At 43.8% G+C, this 19,789-nt stretch overlaps 1 long non-coding RNA gene across 2 annotated transcripts in view, besides 2 other annotated features; it reads right to left on the bottom strand.

The window, feature by feature from the left end:
- Positions 1 to 13,442, bottom strand: part of LINC01622 (long intergenic non-protein coding RNA 1622) — a 140,330-nt gene extending 126,888 nt beyond the window's left edge. For both annotated transcript variants that reach the window (NR_027116.2, NR_027115.3), the window contains exon 1: positions 11,823 to 13,442. This is a non-coding gene — a long non-coding RNA (long intergenic non-protein coding RNA 1622). The remainder of the gene's footprint in view (positions 1 to 11,822) is intronic.
- Positions 12,554 to 13,753: an enhancer, noted in NCBI's record as "BRD4-independent group 4 enhancer chr6:1100679-1101878 (GRCh37/hg19 assembly coordinates)". NCBI's record gives its function as "activates an origin of replication core promoter dependent on BRD2, P300/CBP, MED14 and CDK7 cofactors, and independent of BRD4, by STARR-seq in HCT116 cells {active_cell/tissue: HCT116}" and the evidence as "EXISTENCE:reporter gene assay evidence [ECO:0000049][PMID:35650434]".
- Positions 16,199 to 16,774: an enhancer, noted in NCBI's record as "NANOG hESC enhancer chr6:1104324-1104899 (GRCh37/hg19 assembly coordinates)". NCBI's record gives its function as "activates a minimal SCP1, AML or CMV promoter by ChIP-STARR-seq in naive and primed H9 embryonic stem cells {active_cell/tissue: H9 hESC(naive and primed)}" and the evidence as "EXISTENCE:reporter gene assay evidence [ECO:0000049][PMID:30033119]".

A 19,789-nucleotide genomic window follows, 5' to 3' on the forward strand; every position in this document is an offset into this window, starting at 1 on the left:
TTTGGGAAGCCGAGGCAGGCGGACCACCTGAGATAGGGAGCTCACGACCAACCTGGCTAACATGGCAAAACCCCGTTTCTACTAAAAATACCAAAAATTAGCCGTGTGTGGTGGTGGGCACCTGTAATCCCAGTTACTCAGGAGGCTGAGACAGGAGAATCTCTTGAACCCAGGAGGCGGAGGTTGCCGTGAGCTGAGATTGTGCCACTGCACTCCAGCCTGGGAGACAGAGGGAGACTCCGTCTCAAAAAAAAAAAAAAAAATCCCCATCCCTAAGGACCCTATATTCCAGTGGCTAGTCATCATTACTGCTACCGTCCATTGAGTATCTGCTGTATACCAGGCTCGGTTCTAGCTGCTTTACCTATACATTATTTCTAATTTGCATAACTTCTCTGAAAGTTGAATTATCAGCCCATCTAACAGATGAAGAAGTTGAGTCTCACAAAAATTAATAAAGCCCCAAAAGTGATTCAAAGCTACATTCCAAAGTCTTTGCTCCTTTCCTGCCAAGGTGGAAATCTTTCACCTGAACCAAACAAGTGTCTTGCTGACCTGTGAAACCCTTACCCTCCCTCCTCCACCCCTGTACCTCCCACATATCTGCACTGCAGTTCTGAGCTTCTCACCATGGTAACCTGTGGACACACCAGTCCCTCTCTGAGCTACTGAAGGTACAGACCATATTCTACTCATCGTGGTTTCATCAGTGTTTGGCACAGTACAAGATCAAATTAAAATAAGCAGATCCTGAATTGCTAAATGAATGTTCCTTATATAGTGCTTACTCAGCTTTTAGATTTATTGCCATCTCTACTTCTGTACCATCTGCAGGGACGCCGCCCGTTGAGGTGGTAGAGATTGGCTTAAGGTTGTACAAACAGAGATTGGAAACTTCTTTCCCTGACTTGTTCTCATTTTACTGTCATATTTGCCAATAAGCACTTAAAATGCCAACTCACACAGCTGGGTGGAATATCTTAAGGAAAGTAAATGAGACAGTGTATACATGTAAGATGATATACAATAAAAGATGATACGGAGTAATGTGAAAACAAAAGATAGTATTATTACTGTTGTTTAAGCAAGCCTCAGGCCTTTTAGCTAGCAAAGCTTCATCCAGTAACTGCTCACTTTGTCTTAAGCACTGTAGTTTTATTCTGAATGAAAAATATATTTACATACCTCCTCTTAAAATCATAGTTCAAGTTTAATTCTCAAGATCAAGATTTATTCTGCTTAATAAAACTCATTTCTAATTTTTTTCTAACCTAATAACTGGTGTTCTAAATGCTAATCTTCTTAGAATGCACTTCTCCTCAAATCCAATGTGTCGCCTCTCCCAGTGAATCACTGGCTTAGAAATAATGATGGCAAACCTATATTACATGCTTAATAGGTGCCAGGCACCCTTGTAAATACTTTTCAAGTGCTATCCTCTTTGAATTCCAAATTCGTAATTTAGGCACTATTATTATTCCCATTTCAAAGATTAGGAAATAAATGACAAGAGGCATAAGATGCCTAAGAGGCCACACATCCGCTAAGTGACAGGGACTCGATCTGAACCCAGGAAAGCTCATTCTGGAGCCCACATTTTTATTTTTGAATGACTTTAGTTTCTTTTCAACATAGGTAACACATCACCTGGTTTAAAAAAAAATTCTAGAAGGCATGCTGTAAGGAGTCTTGCTTCTACTCTGGTCCTGCCTGTTTTCTCTTTGCCCACTCCTGACCCCAACTCTAATACGCAGTTGACAACTTTTAGTAGTTTCTGGAATATACCTTTGGAGATTTTAATGAAAATGCAAGCACATGCAAATATATGCTTTTTGTTTCTTCTACCTTCCTTCCACAAAATGTAGTATGCTCTACACACCTTTTTTTCTCTGTTATTTATATATCTCATAGCTCTTTCCATAGCAGGATACAAATCCTTCTCATTCTTTTATGCTGCATATTCTGTCACATGACTGTGTCATGATTTAACCAGTTCAGGATTGATGGACACTTTCAGTTCTTGTCTATTCACACAGTACAGTCATGAATGATCTTGATGTTCATCTTTTCCTATGTGTAAGTGTATCTGTTGGGTAAATTTCCAGAGGTGGTACTTCCAGGTTGAAAGATTCTTGATTTTTCAGCTTTTATGATTTCGTAACATTCCTGGATTTCCCTTCAATTAGCACATTTTCCTGCAGATTGTGTAAACATCTATTTATTCTTATGGCCTCATCTGCAGAATGTGCTGTCACACTTTGAATTTTTGCCCATTTTATAGGTGATAAAAGATATTCTCATTGAATTCACATTTATCTTATTATGGATGAGGTTGAACACCTTCTCATACATTTAGGGCTTGTTTATTATATTTTATAAATAAGCTATTCTACCCTTTGACAATTTTTCAATTGGTTTGTTGGTTTTTTACTTAGTGAAACTAGAGATATTCTTTTAACTATTTTGCAGTAGTGATTCCCAAGAAAGAGTGAAGACATTAATAAAGGAAATTGCCATAAACACAATAGGTTATCAAAATTGTTTTAGGTACAAGTTAAAAGACTTCTCTGGTTACTTTTGACTTTAAACTCTATCATATGAAATAATGTATATCAAAAGTTCTACAAACTCTAGTCTGTTAGTTATTCATTATTATTATTTTTTTTATTTTTATTTTTTTGAGATGGAGTCTCCCTCTGTCACCCAGGCTGGAGTCCAGTGGCTCGATCTCAGCTCACTGCAAGCACTGCCTCCCAGGTTCACGCCGTTCTCCTGCCTCAGACTCCCGAGTAGCTGGGACTACAGGCGCCCGCCACCACGCCCGGCTAATTTTTTGTATTTTTAGTAGAGACGGGGTTTCACCGTTTTAGCCAGGATGGTCTCGATCTCCTGACCTCGTGATCCGCCCACCTCGGCCTCCCAAAGTGCTGGGATTACAGGCGTGAGCCACCGCGCCCAGCTGGTTATTCATTATTATAATAGACAAAACATTTAGAGATGATAATGTAAAACTCTAAATAGCTAAGATTCAGACCCCAAGAATTTCACTAACAACAGGTCATTGATCTACTCTAAGAACCTTTCATCTGTACTCAACTGATCAGTGACCTTTTCAATAATGAGAAAATAAAAAAAATTAAAAGCCTTTTCTTCTGTCATATTTCCTGAAGTGTGTGACAATTAGTTTTAGTCTAGATCTCTCAAATACGATGCCATTTTTCTTTTTTAAAGCACTCACAGGACTCATTAACAATCAACAGATCATCTCCTTAGAAACATAGGCTCAGGAGTTACCCATAGAAACCATCCTAACCCTTTAGAGTATTTCTATCTGCAACACCCAGATTTTAGGCAACTGGTTGTCTTGGACTGTAAGTGCTCAAATCTGTACAAAACATTTTTAATTTCCACTCCTTAGTGTATCTTTTTTTTTTGAGATGGAGTCTCGCTCTGTTGCCCAGGTTGGAGTGCAGTGGCATGGTTGTGGCTCACCTCAACCTCCGCCTCCCGGGTTCAACCAATTCTCCTGCCACAACCTCCAGAGTAGCTGGGATTACAGGAACCTGCCATCACGCCCGGCTAATTTTTCGTATTTTTAGTAGAGATGGTGTTTCACCATGTTGGCCAGACTGGTCTCAAACTCCTGACCTTGTGATCCGCCCGCCTCGGCCTCCCAAAGTGCTGGGATTACAGGTATGAGCCACTGTGCCCGGCCAGGTATATCTTTACAATGTGTAAGTTTCTAACCTTTCCCCTTTTCCCTGGTCTGGGGAAAGGTAGAGGCTGGTTCCAGAGCTGATCCCAGGGCCTTTGTGAGCTCAGATATGCAGTAATGGCATAGGACCATCTGCCAGGTCAAGGTGTTTGCTGCCTCTGTGGTTATTTGGTTATAAAGAGCCAGCAAAGCCAGGAGACCTCTCTGAAAAAGATACACATAGAGCCTAATATGTGAAGTCGTTTATATTTTGTATGAATAAACATACTTAATACACATTTACACATACATACTAAACGCAGTATGAACCAAATGCTTACAGGAGACAGGGCATGTGTATGGGCATAAGACTTTGGAGAGAAACTCTGAAGTCCACAGAACCCTCCCATGGGTCAAGATCAAATGCCTACCAGATGCTCAGAGCCTCCAGTAAATCCAGTCAGAGCTGGATTTGAGTAGAAGATTCCCTTTTATGCACAACTGCTGACATAAGTGGCGTGACACTTCCTTATTTATGTCTGGAGTTTACTGCCCTTTGAGTTTATTGCCTAATACAGCATGGCCACAGAATGTCTTTTTCAACGCAAAGGCCTATAATTCTATTACAAGAACACCTTGGGGATATTGTGGGTTCAGTTCTAGACCATCACAATAAAGCAAATATTGCAATAAAGCAAGTCACACAAATTTTGGTGTTTCCCAGTGCATATAAGAGTTATGTTTATGCTATACTGTAGTCCTTTAAGTGTGTAATAGCATTATGTTTAAAAACACAATAGTGTGAAAAAACCCGCAATATCTGCAAAGCACAATAAAGCGAACTGCAGTAAAATAAGGTATGCCTGTATATTTTTTAAATGCACTTGAGCCTTTCTAACCCCTTTGAGAATTAAGAAGCAGTTTGCACACCCTCTGCAATCTAAAATGGATCCCACATCTATGCACACACATGCAGGACTAGGTTCATGTATTGTATAACCCACACAGTCAAGTCCTGCAAGATTCAATAAAAACCTGTAGTCAGGTTCATTCTATTTCAGATGCAGAAATTGTTTGTAATGAATGAAAAATGAACACTATTAGCCACGTGCTTTTATAATTCACTAGATAACATATGAAACCACTAATGTTGTCCACTAACGATGACTACCATCATGACCAACACAACAAAACCAGAAACAGTATTTCCTCCTTTTTTTTTTTTTTTTTTTGAGACAGTCTTGCCACCAGGCTGGAGTGCAGTAGCACTATTTCGGCTCACTGCAACCTCCGCCTCCTGAGTTCAAGTGATTCTCCTGCCTCAGCCTCTGGAGTAGCTGGGATTACAGGCACCCGCCACTATACCCAGTTAATTTTTTTGTACTTTTAGTAGAGATGGGATTTCATCATGTTGGCCAGGCTGGTCTCGAACTCCTGATCTCGTGATACACCTGCCTTGGCCTCCCAAAGTGCTGGGATTACAGGCATGAGCCACCGCGCCCGGCATATTTCCTCCTTTTTACATTGTACTTTCATAGCTGATTCTCCCCTTTCAACCCAAAATGCAAACACAGGCTTTAAGAGATTTCATTTCATTTCAGAATGAGCTGTGACCTGGAGGCCCAACCAAAGGCAGGCTTGTTGCCCAGTGCTATGGAGACAGTAGACTTGGGGATGTCCTTCCATACCATTTATCCTGATGGCCTGAAACAAAAGCACATCACCATATCCTTTTGATCACAGCATAGATGGAATACAAAAGATGACCTCCAAGACTCCGCCTGACCTTGCTCCACCTACCTCCCCAGCCTCTCCCACCCAACTCTCCCCAACACCTCTGGGGTCCAGACACAAGAGCCTTCCTTCAGTTCTGCAAACACACCCCACTTCTCCCACTCACAGCCACCTCAGCATCACCGCAGGATGTTGCTGAATTTACAATCGCCTCCTCCCTCTCTCTCCCCTCCCAGGAGCCTTTGCTTTGCCTAGCTAACATCCACAGGATTGCAGATGGCTTGTCACTTTCTCCAAGAATCCTTCCTTGACCCCCCGATTTCTCCTCATGGGACTTAATAACTTGGTGTCTGAATTCCCTGCTAGAATGCCAGCTCTATGAGGGCAGAGACAGACTTTGTCTTATCCCTGCCACATCCCCGGCAGCTAGCACAGAGAAGGGAGCAAATGTCCGGTGAGAGAATTATGAGTGTGACCCTGACATGGGCTGTGTCTTACTGTCTGTGCCACGCCGTCTGCCCAGTGTAAATGCTAAAGAAATGTTTGCCGAGTGAATGAATGGATGAATCAATGAGTTGTTAAAAAAAAAAACTGTTCACATCAACACAATTTAGCATTAAAATACTCACTATAAATCATAAATATTATTATTTTTATCATTTAAGTTCTATTCAAGTGTTTTTCCCCCACATAGTTTCTTAGAAATTTTATGGCCAAAAAAACAATTCTCAGGCTAGGCGTGGTGGCTCATGGCTGTAATCCCAGCCCTTTGGGAGGCCAAGGCGGGAGGATCACCTGAGGTCAGGAGTTCGAGACCAGCCTGGCCAACATGGTGAAACCCCGTCTCTACTAAAAATACAAAAATTAGCCAGGTGTGATGGCAGCCGCCTGTAATCCCAGCTATTCAGGAGGCAGGAGAATCTCTTGAACCTGGGAGGCAGAGGTTGCAATGAGCTGAGATTGCACCACTGCACTACAGCCTGGGTGAGAGAGCGAGATTCTGTCCCCCAAAAAACAAAAAACAAAGAACAACAATTCTGGGATGCCTGAAAAATGCTCCAGCCCACAGAAAGTGAACTGGGAATCTTTTTAAGGGTAGGTATCATTTCTCCCAGGACTAGAGTCCTTTTAAGTGACTCATAGTTCCCAAGATCTGAGAGGCTTCTCTTTTGGCCCTGTCTCATGACCCATTTCTGAACATCTGTGTTGATTTTTTCTTTCTTTTTTTAAAATCTATTTGGCTCAGTGCTTAAGATAAATGAGAAGTTTCACATTCTACCCTAAAGGCTAATAGAATCTGGCTGTACTGGATTGCAATTCAAGAGTCCAGTGATGTGGCTTCTCCTAAGAAAATACCCTTTCTCCTAGAATCCCAGGGACCTATGAGCAAAACCTCCAGGATTCAAAGTCTGAGTTTAAAGAGAGAAATTTTTCACACACACACCATCCAAAACAATCCTACACACACCCAACAAGCACACAGCACCCAAAAGTAAACCCTCCACACACCCAACATGCACCCACACCCAATTCTCACAAACAACCCAACACACACATGCAACACCTGCATATGCGACACACATAGAACACACACTGTACCTGCAATCCCCACCCTCACATACGCAACCCTCCACACCCCCGGCACACACACCACACACACACCGGGGCCTGACACTCCTCAGTCCTGAGCCGAGGGTCTCCTGGAGGCCCAGCTTCTCTCTTCTTTCCCTACCCCATTCCATCATCTCATCCAGGCCCTATTGGAGGCAATTTGCCCTTATTCTAAAAGTTATTTTAGTTTTGATTACGGAAGACTTGAAAGTAATGTCAGTTCTTAGAAAAATTCTAATGAAAGGCTGGGCAAGGTGGCTCATGCCTGTAATCCCAGCACTTTGGGAGGCCGAGGCAGACAGATCACCTGGGGTCAGGAGTTTGAGACCAGCCTGGCCAACCAACATGGTGAAACCCTGTTTCTACTACAAATACAAAAAATTAGCCAGGCGTTGTGGCACACACCTGTAATCCCAGCTACTTGGGAGGCTGAGGCAGGAGAATCACTTGAACTCGGGAGGCAGAGGTTGCAGTGAGCCAAGATCATACCACTGCACTCCAGCCTGGGCGACAGAGGGAGACTCTGTCTCAAAAAAAAAAAAAAAAAAATTTCCAATGAAAGCAAATCAGGGGTTTGGCCTCCTGGTGGCTTTTGGGTGCTTGTCTTGGAGATAGCAGTTGGATACCACAGCAAATTGGCTGTGGATTATTTAGTAGTTCTTATTTTTCATACAACTGCCTCTGTTGCCCACTTTCTTCATTTTTTCTTACCAAATGGTAGAATTGCCCTTCTCACCTTCTACCGTTATGTCCTCCTATCAGGAAAGCAAACTAGTGCATTAAACCACCGTGATCACCACCACAAACCTGTGAATGGGGGAAGGAACCCTTTTCTCCATGAGGACATGAAAGTGGAGGGAGGTTAGGCGGTGCACATTGCCCCAAATCTTCCAGTGAAGAAGGATCCCAAGAGAATGGAAAGGTGGTCTCCTTTTTTGACACCCACACTCCTCTGTCCCCACACGGCCCACTGGGCTCTGCACGACTGCTGTGTCCAAAGCATTGTCCCCTGCAGAAGTTGCGCCAGTCCTCCCTCCACCTCTTGCTGCACTCAGACAGGAAGGCAGTGAAGCCAGACAGGAAGGCAGTGAAGCCAGACAGGAAGGCAGTGAAGCCAGACAGGAAGGCAGTGAAGCCAGCCACGCCAGCCTCAGAGCAGGCACTGAGGGCACTGACGCTCACCCTGGCCCTGCAGAATCTGTGGAGGAGAGGCTGTGGGTCCACCCTTGTCTTCTGCTTATCCCAGTTGTCCTACCTCATCTCTTCTTTTAATTTCTATTATGGAAAGTTCCTAACAGGAACAAAAGTGCAGAGAATTATATTAAAAATTCCCACGTGCCCATTGCCTGCCTTCAACAATAAACGCCTTGTAGCTAAATTTATTATTTTGCATTCCTGAGCTCACTTACTCCCGTGAATTATTTTGAAGCACATTTGGAAAATCATGTTAATCTGTAATTAAAAAAATATATAACATCAAAAGGCATGGACGACTCCCTTTTAAAAATAACCGCAATACCGTCACCACACACAGAAAATTAAGATTTCTTTAATGTCAACACCTATGCTATCTGTGTTTGCCTTCCTCCAACAGTCTCATGAACATTTTAAGATTTGCTTGCCTGAACTGGGATCCCAACGAGGTCTACACTTTGTTCTGAACTCATGCATCCCTTAAGTGTCTCACTCTACCAGTTTACTCTACATCTCTTCCAGACTCCCTCAATTTTCTTCTTCTTCTTGAAAAAAATATTGCTTGTCCTGTCTGAATTTTGCTGATTGCATCTTTGTGTTCTTCTATCCCTTTTATTTTCTGCAAATTGGTAGTTATATCTGGAGGGTTGCCTGAGTTCAGTTTTGGTGTCTTTGGTAAGAATCCTTCGTAGGTGGTGTTGAATGTGGACTTTCATTGGGAGGCACAGAAGGTCTGGTTGTCTCCCTTTTGGGGTGATGGTTGCCCGGAGTATGGTTTACTCTTAACTCCTGTAATGTAAAGGGAGGGAGGAAGGAAGAAAGGAGGAAGGAAGGAAGGAAGGAGGGAAAAAAGGAAGGAAGGAAAAAAGGAAGGAAGGAAAAAAGGAAGGAAGGAAGGCAGGCAGGAAGGAAGGACCTGTCAGCCTGCTGCTTGCCTGAATGTGACTGACCACGGCCCCAGGTGGTGGAGCTGCCACCTTCCCTGTCTGCTTGCCCCCAGGACCACCACTTTCACCGACCACACTCAGAATCAGTGAGCCCCTCTGCAGTGCCTGCCTTGTCTGGGCTGACCACCTTCAGTGCCAGAGCTGAGCCAGAGACTTGGCCATTTTCGGGAGTGCCATAAGGATTATTTTGACACTTTTGTCCGGCATAATAGTTGCTTTTAGGTAAGATGATTTGTCAGCCTCCTCCTTCTGTCGTGCTGGAAGTGACTCTTCTCAAGTATTTTTGTCAGCCTCTGAGTAACAGTAAAGCCCACTCTAGCGTAGCAAGGATGAGCAGAGCCAGATTCTGGGTTGGCATGAAGGGTTTAAAGAGAGTGAGGTTGAGTGAGCTCCCCTGGCCCACAGAGCAAGGTTGACAAAGGAAGGAAAGGCCCTGTGGTGTGGCCCCAGTGAAGGGCACCAGCGCCGCCTCTGGATCTCTGTGTCCTCACCTCTGGGGTAAGGGCATGCTTCCCTCTGGGGTGGATGTGGCTGACAGCAGATGCCCTGTCATGGCTCTTGCCTCAGCTGTGCGTGTCCCCATCTTTCCTGTCCTGAGGCCAGACTCATAGGTAAAACCGGGTCTCAGGCATCTCTCCAGGAGGGTTGATGGGACACTGCAAGCTCCTTGGCCCCGCCAGGGCTGTCTTCCCCCAGCTTTCAGTGGGTAGTGACGGCCCCGTGACCATCACTGCATCGGGGGGGAGTTGACCCCGCCAGGGCTGTCCTCTCCCAGCTTTCAGTGGGTAGTGACGGCCCTGTGACCATCACTGCAGACCCCGCCAGGGCTGTCCTCTCCCAGCTTTCAGTGGGTAGTGACGGCCCCATGACCATCACTGCACTGGGGACGCTTGACCCTGCAGTGGCTTTAGGGCTTCCAGCTTAAACACAGTCAAAAAGCGAAAGGTCTAGTCACCAGAAGACAACATTTGACAGTAGTAGAAATCACAACCAAACATTGTGCTGTTGTACAATTGTTATTTGTCAATTACAAAATAATATTAAAAAATAAAAAACCCCAAAACATTGTACTAGCCATTAGAAAATCATTCCTGACATCCATTACCTGCCAAAACAGAGTCATATCTGTCCTAAACATAGCATAACTTAGCTTCTAATTTTTTCTAAGGGAGAAAATAATAATGGGATTCTGTACAAAAAAAAATGTTAAATATGGACTGGGAACTAACTCACCTTTTTAATCTCAATCTCCAAGGTCATCTAATTGTAAATAGAATTTTCTAAACTTTGGTAGAACACAGGACACATTGGTAATTTTCAATGTAATTAAAGTTTTCCTGATTTTTTTAAACTTAGAACTGTTTATTAATTTAAATGATCACTAATATTTTATTTAAAATATCTTTAAAATGAGTCAAGGGTTTTGCACTTTTCTCCAGCACAACTCTAGTTTATTTATTTGCCAATCCTTTTCTGTTTAAACCATTTGTAATTCTTTTTTGCTTAACTCATTCAACAGGCAGCATGAAGGATCACAAAACAAAAATTGTTCTAAATACTTATTTAAAATATCTTTTTCACTTACAAACAATGTCTGTGAAATTCTTAATTAATACAAACAAGAATCTAACTAATAATGATTCAAACTCTCACTATTACGCTAGGTGATTTTTTTTTTACTGTGTTGAAATTGCATTATATAATTTAAGTTGGACAACCAAGACATTTCATTTTTGATGTTGATTACAACTTTCAAAATTCGCAATCTACTAACATAATTTATTTATATTGACTTAATGTAAGTAAATCAGTTGTGCCTTTGAAAATGCTACATTGTTCATAAATGAATACCAAGCTTATGCATAGCTATGTACAGGGAGGTGAAAAATATTCATCTTCTCTGATATTAACAGACAGTTAAATACAGTACTATCCTTCTCCTATATATCATCACTCAAATAGCTGTTTCCTATGGAGTCCTAGCCAAGCTAAGGGAAAAAGAAAATATATTGACCTCTAAGATACACGTCAGTTGAATCAGAACTGTGTAGTAGTAGAATGCTTGGCAAATACAATGATTTGTAGAATACATTGATACATATTGTGAAGTGGTTGAGAGACAGCCAGCAGTTGCCACAGCTGCCAAACTCCAGAAGAAGGCTGGTGTTGGTGCAGGGCAGAGCTTAGGGCGAAATGTGGTGGGCTGGGGACAACACGGAGGAGGGAGATTTTTCTATTCAGTGCCCAGTTGACTCCACCGCTGAGGGCCAGTATAGTGAAGTTAAAAACCAGTTTCACACACTGTGATGAAATTCTATAAACTCAGGATTATCCTGTCAAATCAAGATGACATGCGTCCCATTGTTTAAAAACATTCTAATGGATGGAACTTAGCAAATACTGCTAAGAACAGAACCAGCCGGGCTATGCTGCAGCGTCTCAGACATGTTTCCACTCGCTGCTGCGATGTGTTTGTCAAAGAGTTTACTTAGAGAGCTGCAGAGCTATCAGAGAGGAGAAGAGAAGCGCTTCGCCCTCACTTGAAGAACAGTAACTGCAGTCAAGCAGAAGACACTTCAAACAAACAAACAGACAGACAGACAGACAGATCTCCCCACTCATTCTACTGGTCTTGTGCTTACCTTTCATTTTTCTTGGCCTCTTGCTTCCCCTCTCTCTGATGGCATCTTAAAGGACTCAATGTTGAAATGGTAGCAGGCAGCAGCCCATCTGAAGGTAGCATTAGCATTTGAGAGGAAAGATCTTGAGGACTGAGTGTGCTTAGCCACTGTGCACCTCGAACCTGCATTGTTCCTCGGTTTTCCTATGGAGAAGGATCCCCCTGTGTGGGACTGGCATCCTCTGAGGACTGCAGGACTGTACCTGGGTGATGAGAAAGGAAGCCAAGGCCATAGCACTATAATTGCAGTGCTCTGCCTTAAAGTCCAGCCTCGAGCCTGCGGCTCGATTTTCCAGTAAGCTGAGAGCATGGAGAACACCAGAAAGCCATTTCGGTTTCTGCTTATTTCTTCTCTACAGATTTTGAGGGTTGAAAAAGCACATTCCAGAAAAGGCAGTGGAAAATTCTAAAATAAAAGTGAGGCAGAATCAGAGTGAGGGGCATGTTGAGAATGCCCCTACCATCTTGAACGGAGCAAAAGATGGCTCATATGTTGACAGCTCCCAATCCCCCACTTCTGGAGCAGATTTTCCAGGGGGAAGGACATTACAGAGTCCAGATGCCTCTTCCATGATTCCAGCACCTCTAATGTTGTAAGGCCGTGTTATGAGCACCCTAAAGATGGCACTTCAGCACACAGTTCTCGAAATTCTGACCATTCTATCTTCTTTTAAATCCCTCTGTTTTTCCAAATCCTAAAGCCCTGTGACACACCAGCAGCCGGTAAGCGTCTTTCGAGAGAAGGAGCAGGCCAGCAGGGCCCCCACATCTTCTTTCCTCAGCTTCATCCCAGATGCCTGGTACTGTCTCAAGACTGCAGGCACTGAAACGTGACCCCGGTGTCTCAGGCTGAAACAGCAAACTCCCAACCGAGTTTTAAATTCTCAACAATTTGTGGAAATTATGAGATTTTTATGAGCATGTATTTTACAGGACTTCCTAGAATGCCTTTTTGAGAACCCTGGAAGGGGAGGAAGGAAATATCACCCTAGGGGAAGCAGAATTAAATGTGTACTCTCTCCTGTCTCTCTTTTTCTCTCCTTCCTTCCAGCCCATTGAGAAATCTACAAGCCATCCATCGTCTGACCCCGTAAATTTGTCTTTCTGAGGTAATAAGATGACACAGCCTTTGCCAGGTCAGATGCTACTTTCATAAAAAGTGCTGAGTTGGTGACCCAATGCCGTGAATAAGGATATAATCAAATTTCATATTTCTTCCTTGAGCTTCAGCAATGACGCCCACTTTTCATGGATTGTTACTCAGGGAGGACGCATAAATGCCTCTCAGAATCACCTAATTCAATCTTCATAACAACAGTCTAGGTGAGATGGCTTTGTCCCGTTGCAGGCGAGTTCCAAGCACAGAGAACCAAATGGTTTCCACAGAGAACATGTGTAGAAGGGATTGTAACCCACAACTGTCTGAACCCAAGCACTAAGCTTCAAACCAGACTCTGTGCTGCTTCTGCTTTATACACAGGCCCTGGCTGAAAACCCTTGACTTTACCAGGCATGCAAGGAGATGCTAAGTCCACTTTGGCTGCAGGTAAGAATTAAGTAGGACTAACCTGGGTGTTACTAATAAGGAGTTCAACCAGGGCCCAGCAATCAAGGAGGGCTTCGTGGAAGAGGTGGAACTTGGAGTGGCCTGGAAGAATCGCATAGAATCAGCAAAACCATGGAAACGACAATGAGCAGGGAACACACACAGGTCCCACTGTGACAGAATGCACATGGGTGATGAGCAGACATGTCCTCAGATGGGTAGGCAGGACCCTGGAAAACAGGAAATGGAGTCTGTGTTTGACAGCAGAAGCAACGGCAACCACTGTCATCTCATTCATTCATTTAATAATTGTTTATTGAGGGTATCATGTCAGGTGCAGTTCTTAGTGATAGTGACCTAGCAGTGAGTAAGCCAGGCTGAGTCCCTGCCCTCAAAAACCTCAAGATCCAGTAGTGGGCCAGATGGACATTCATGATGTTTAATAGATCAAGTAGAGTTCCCCTTCATTGATATCTATTTCTAAAGATGTCTGTCTTCCCTTCTAACAGATCTCTAAACGACCACGGCCCGAAGTGTCAGTTTCAAATGCTTGTTTCAGCTCTGCCCTCCCCACATCAAATCCCACCTCTCTCACGCTAAAGCATCATAATATATTTGTGCTGAGAGTTGCCTTAGAAATCATTCAGTATTCAGTTCACGGGGGAAGAAACAGAAAGCCCCTAGAGGTGACCTCATTAGCCTACAGTTGCCCTGAGAACTGGTGGCAGAAGCAGATTGGTGTCCAGCCTCCTGATGTACATGCCAGTGCTCTTTCCCCCAAGCCATGTGTCTCCTGGTCACGCCCTTTGTCCTTGCTGTCCTCTACTATTCTCTTCTGGAAGACTCACGATGAGAGAGCCGACTTCTCCAAGCTGCACTCCTAGCTCTCTGGGACCCAGCAGGGACCGCTGCCTTCCAGCCAGCAGTTTGAAGAAGGACAGCTACCATCAAACACAGACTTACAGCCTCCCTGATGCCCTGGATGCCAGGAAATGTCTGGACCAGTCAAGATAAGAGCAAGGCAGAGCCAGGAAGAAATGGGGACAGGAGTTCCTATTTAAATATATAAAGAATCCTTTCCTAGGTAGAGAAAAGTCATCTAGCAATGTGACTGATCACCTCTCCGTTTATCTGTTTGATCAACTGGAATTTCTATACAGAAGGTTTATACAAAGAAGCCACAAACAACCATTGTCACAATGACCCCTACATAATTCCTTGTGTAAATGCTCTGGAAATGCACCCAGAAGTCTGGAGAAGGTCCAATCAAACTGGGTGGCAGGAAGAAGCAAGCTCTGTTCTCAGATCTTCAACAGAATCACCTGGACCCTGGGGTTGCCACCACGCTAAGCCAAGGAGGCCTCTGAATGCACGGGAGTGCAGGGTCTGAAGGGAGTTGTTAAAAGGTGTTTCTTGATCCAGGACCATGTAAAGACCCAGGAGAAATAGGTATCCCAAAGAGAACAGCGTATAAGATTCACAAACCAATGACAAACACGCTGGGTTCGCTGCTGGTCTCCACAGTTGGTTGGTTCTGTAGGGCTCAGCTGCCTCTTTCTCTCTACTTCTGGTTTCAGAAAACACGAGAGAGAAGCCGAGTGCTCATGGAGTTTCCTCAAAGACTCAGCAAAAACTAGGCTTTGTGTTCTGAGATCAGGAAGTAACAGTGAGAGTCCAAAATTTTCTTCCCTGACAATGTCTCCTACTCAAGCAGGGCCTGGAAGTCACCCCCTAGAATCAAAGCCTTGACATATGCAAGCTCATAGTTTATTGCTTCTTCTCCCATCTGCCCGTTGACAGATAAATCCCAGAGGGAATAAAAACACATTGCCCTCAGCAGATTATTCTTCACTGAAGAATACCAGTCTTTTAACACTCCGCTACAGAAATAGCTTTCTGCCGGCTGATGGCTTGTTGCGCTGCACTAAGAGAGCCCGCACACCTCGAAGCTTCGTCAAGCAAAGCCTATGATTTCACAGACCCAGAAATGTTTTCTTTCTCTAAGCCAATAACATATGCTTGGGTTTATGCCAACTCTACCAGAGGCGCACAGATACAATGAGGCATGAAGTTCAGAATAATAGAAAGTAGAGAGTTGGAAAGCACAGGAGAACCCATCTAGACCAACCTGTTTTGTTGAAAAAGGAGCTCCCTGACCCAGAGAGGTTAAGGGTTTGCTGTGAGACGGTGCCCCTGGTTAAAGGCAGCATGAGATGCTGTCCTCTGATCCCCAGCTTCCTAGGGCTCTTGCCTCTAGGTCACACTGCCTTGAGGCCAGGAGCTGATATTGATTGAACAGATGTGAAAACAGAAGAAAAAAAAATTGTGGTGACTGCCCTCTGACAATTTTCCACTTTCTTTGGACCAATTTTCTTTGCCATTATCTGGAAAAAAAAAAAATGTCCAGAAGAGCATTTTAAATTCAGGAAGTGGTTCTGGAACTAGGAGAAGACACACCTTGATGACAGTAATATTGTCTAAGTGAGAAGGAACAAGCTCTTGAATGTTTCTAGAAAAACCAAATATGATAGGAGACCATAAAATTATACTTCGTCATATGGATTTCCAGTTTGAGAAAACTTAGTGGCTAAACAAAGGTGCCGCTTGAGAGATGCAGACAGAAATCAGCCTCTGCTTTAAGAACAAGTTGCTACGCTGAAGAATGAGAAGAGGAATGGGGCCCAGAGGCTGAAGGTCTGGACCAATCTCCCTTCCCAGATAAGCGCCTGGACCCTCGTTCCTCAGAAGCCACGTGTAATTACCAGCTCTTTTTGGCTACAGAGCACATGCCCAGGAGGCTTGGAGAAGCAGGAATTTAAAACATGCTAGTTTCAGAGCCAAGATTGGTGACAACACCATCAGTTACTGTTTGGGCTTCGGGAAGCCGTGGGCTGCAGCACTGGGTCTGGTGTCCTGGGCTGTGTGGGACCTCAGCAAGGTTGTTTCCTGAAATGAAAGCTCCTCTTCTGGGGGATGACACACCAGGACCACCTGCAGATGATGTTTATGAATCCCCCAGCAGGGGTGGATTGATCTTACAATGGGACTGTGTAATATAAACATTTCATTATTCTACAAAAGAATACACACAATACCACCTAAGGGTCTCTAAGAATAGGGTTGGAGAGTGACAATGAGAAAATGCCACTCAAAAAGAAATAGAGCCGCATTCCTTCTACACAACATTAATATTAACTTTACATACAGGGGAAAAAAATGGCATTTTACCTTAAGAGTTATTTGTAAACTCTCTCCACACCATGAGATAAAATCAGTGCAGAGCTCAGAGCTCTGAATTTCCTCATTTGGGGGCTAATAGACTTTAATGGGGGCTCTTCTTGGCATGCAAATGAACGTGTGTGTCTCTGAGTGCATGTGTCTGTGTGTGTACACACGTCCCTTTGAAGTTTATTTACTTGGTAGCACTAATTGTAAAAGGGCACACCCAGGGGAATTTAATGAGGCGACATGCTAGAATATAGACATTAGAAAGGGAATTAATATTTTCCTCATAATAGCAAGTAGGTGAAGTCAAGTATGAGGACAGAAGGAAAGAAAAAGGAAGGCAGGGAAAGAGGGAAGGAGAGGAGAGGAACAGGTTTTGATGATCGTAGATAAGAACCAATAAACACTGTTGCTTCACACTCCCGAGCATAACTTGGCAGAATTTATTTATTGGGAATCAATTGCTTTTAACCTAATACAATCTATTCAGTGCTTATTAGACCTAAAAAAAAAATCGTTTGCTAGAGATGCAATTTGAAAACAACACTGACTTCTAAACCAAATGGATGTTTTCTAAACCAAATGAGGTTTATGTTAATTGAGAGCTGAGTATATTCTAGAAACAGCAGGAAAGCAGACGACAAGCCCTTTGGTTTTGTCTGGACACCTTCCGGAGAGGTGCCTCTAGCAGGTGGGGGTGTGGATTCCAGTGAACTGAAATTACTGTATATTTGGGTATAAACAAACTCCATGTGGCATTGGGACTTATGACCACTGGGACTGCCTGTGGGAACATGCACAAGCTCAGATACTACAACCTGCGTTCCTGAGGTAGCCATAACATAACTACTTTAGGTGATTACACATCTACAAATGAAAATAAACTGTGAACAAGGCCTCATTCACACTGCATCAAAGCCTCCAGAACGTCCTTCAGAACAGAAACAGCAAGGCGAGGAAAGCCTCCAACATTGGGAAATCTCTCTACACAGACCTGTCCTTGCCTGCATCTTCTGCCAATGACCTCACACCTAGATCGTGATGGTCTTAGCCCTAGTCCATTAGCAGAAGGGAAGGATGGCTGGCAAAGAATGCTGCACAGAGAGGAGTTCCGTGTGAAATCATTGGCTCCAGGGGCTCAATCCCTGGTTGCCTGACCTTGAATTGTTCTCTTAACCTCTCTGACCTTCCATATTTTCATCTCTTAATAGTAATAGTTGCCCAGCCCATGCCAGCAAAGAAGGCATGAGGCAAACAAGGTAATTGTGTAGGCATGCTTTCTGAAATGCAAAATCCTGCAATACATTGTCATCGTAGTCTTTGGTTCTTTGAAGTCATCGTTATCTTTGGAAAAGGGAAAATTGAGACCTGTGGTTCATCAATTCAAACCTAGGGTTTCATGCACTCCTTGACATTCTGTTCCACTCAAGGTGGAAGATGAATTCTCACTCTGATGAAGAACTAAGCCATGGGGTCTTTGCCTGCAGAGAGAAGCTACCAGTGCCACAGACACAGGCCTCCACGGCGGTTCTCCCTGCAAAAGGCCACCGTTTGTGTCATCTTGATCATGGCCAGGGCAACATCTTCTTTGGCAAATAGTCTAGGAAGTGAGCCACGGGATTCATTCTGCATTCAAGTCACTGAAATTCCAGCTGAAATAAATGTTCAGCTGGAACATTTTTTTTGGAACATTTTTGTGGAAGAAAACAGTATCCCTCGTTTCTTATGTATCTGTTTAGTAAGAGTTTAAATAGCTGCTGACTCATACCAATTAATCACACTTGAAAAAAAAACCTAATCATTTTAACAAACAAAACTCAGACCTGTATTTAATTGCCATAAAATGGAATGAAACTAAACCAGGTGGATTTAAACAAATGTATGCCTAGAGCACCTATAACGGCCAGGACCCTCTGCTAAGTGGTTCTAAGAACACAGACGTGAAGAAGATACAGTCCCTAAAACACAATGCCAAAAATTTGGATTTGGATGAAAGCAACCAGCATAAGATTCAAACTCTTAGTTTGCCTAAAATCCTAATGTCTTTGAGCCGACAGATATCCTGAGGTTCTTTTCTAAGTCATTTGTTGGCAGATCTCTTCTGTAGTAATCGTACTTAGACCACCGTGCTTCCATGGGCCTCTGTGATCGGACTTAGGTAATCTTACGTTTCTTAGGAACTTGTTCACCTTTGAAATCACTTGAAACAGGAAATTCTCTGCTGTAGCTGCACCAGATGCCCAAGGTTCAGATTAAGCTAATTTCCCTTCTCAACCCTAAGGGGATGTTTTGAAGCTCACCATTCATACCTTCGGAAGATGATTTTCCTAGTCTGTTTGGGCTGTTGTTTATAAGCATTTGTGGCTTATAAACAACAGAAATGTATTGTTCACTGTCCTGCAACTCTAGAGCCTGGGAAGTCCAAGATCAAGGTATCTGCAGATATGGTGTCTGGTGAGGTTCCCTGCTTCATAGATGGCAGCTTCTAGTGGCGTCCTCGTGTGGCAGGAGGGGCCAGGGGTCTCTCTAGGGCTCTTTTATGAGGGCACTAATCCCATCCATGAGGGCTCCACCCCTATGACCTCCTCACCTCCTGAAGGTCCCATCTCCTAATACCATCGCCCTGGAAGTGAGAATTTCAACTTATGAATTTTGAAGAGACACAAACATTCAGACAGTAGCAATGACTGAATAATTACCCGCCACGTTTCCTCATTCATTCATTTATTCATCAAAATTGCTCTCAGTGCTGCTTCTCTGCACCAGGGGCTGTGGCCCAGAGGCTCTGGGCACATGAGAGTAGGGGAGACCTGATCCTTCCCCTTCAGAAGTCAGTAATGATAGCAAAGGAAAGTAAACACGCAGATACCTGCAGAGGGGGCAGCATTGGAGAAGAGGGAGCCACCGCCCATCCCCTAGGCTGCTGGGGGATGGGGATGGATGACAAGGAAGGCTTCTCATTTTAGAGGAGCCCAGAAGAATAAGCATCCTGTGCTCGTTCCTGCATCCTTTCTGATTGGCCTGTTCTTCACCCCGAATCTCAATTTCCTCCTCCCATTCTCCACTTGATGCAAGGTTCAGTGTGCTGAACCTTGCTGACTCTGCCACACTCGCCTGCTAACCATCCTGTAGACACCTGCATCCTCTGCTCCCAGTAT

Source organism: Homo sapiens, chromosome 6, assembly GCF_000001405.40.
Source record: "Homo sapiens chromosome 6, GRCh38.p14 Primary Assembly".
Classification (NCBI taxonomy): domain Eukaryota; kingdom Metazoa; phylum Chordata; class Mammalia; order Primates; family Hominidae; genus Homo; species Homo sapiens.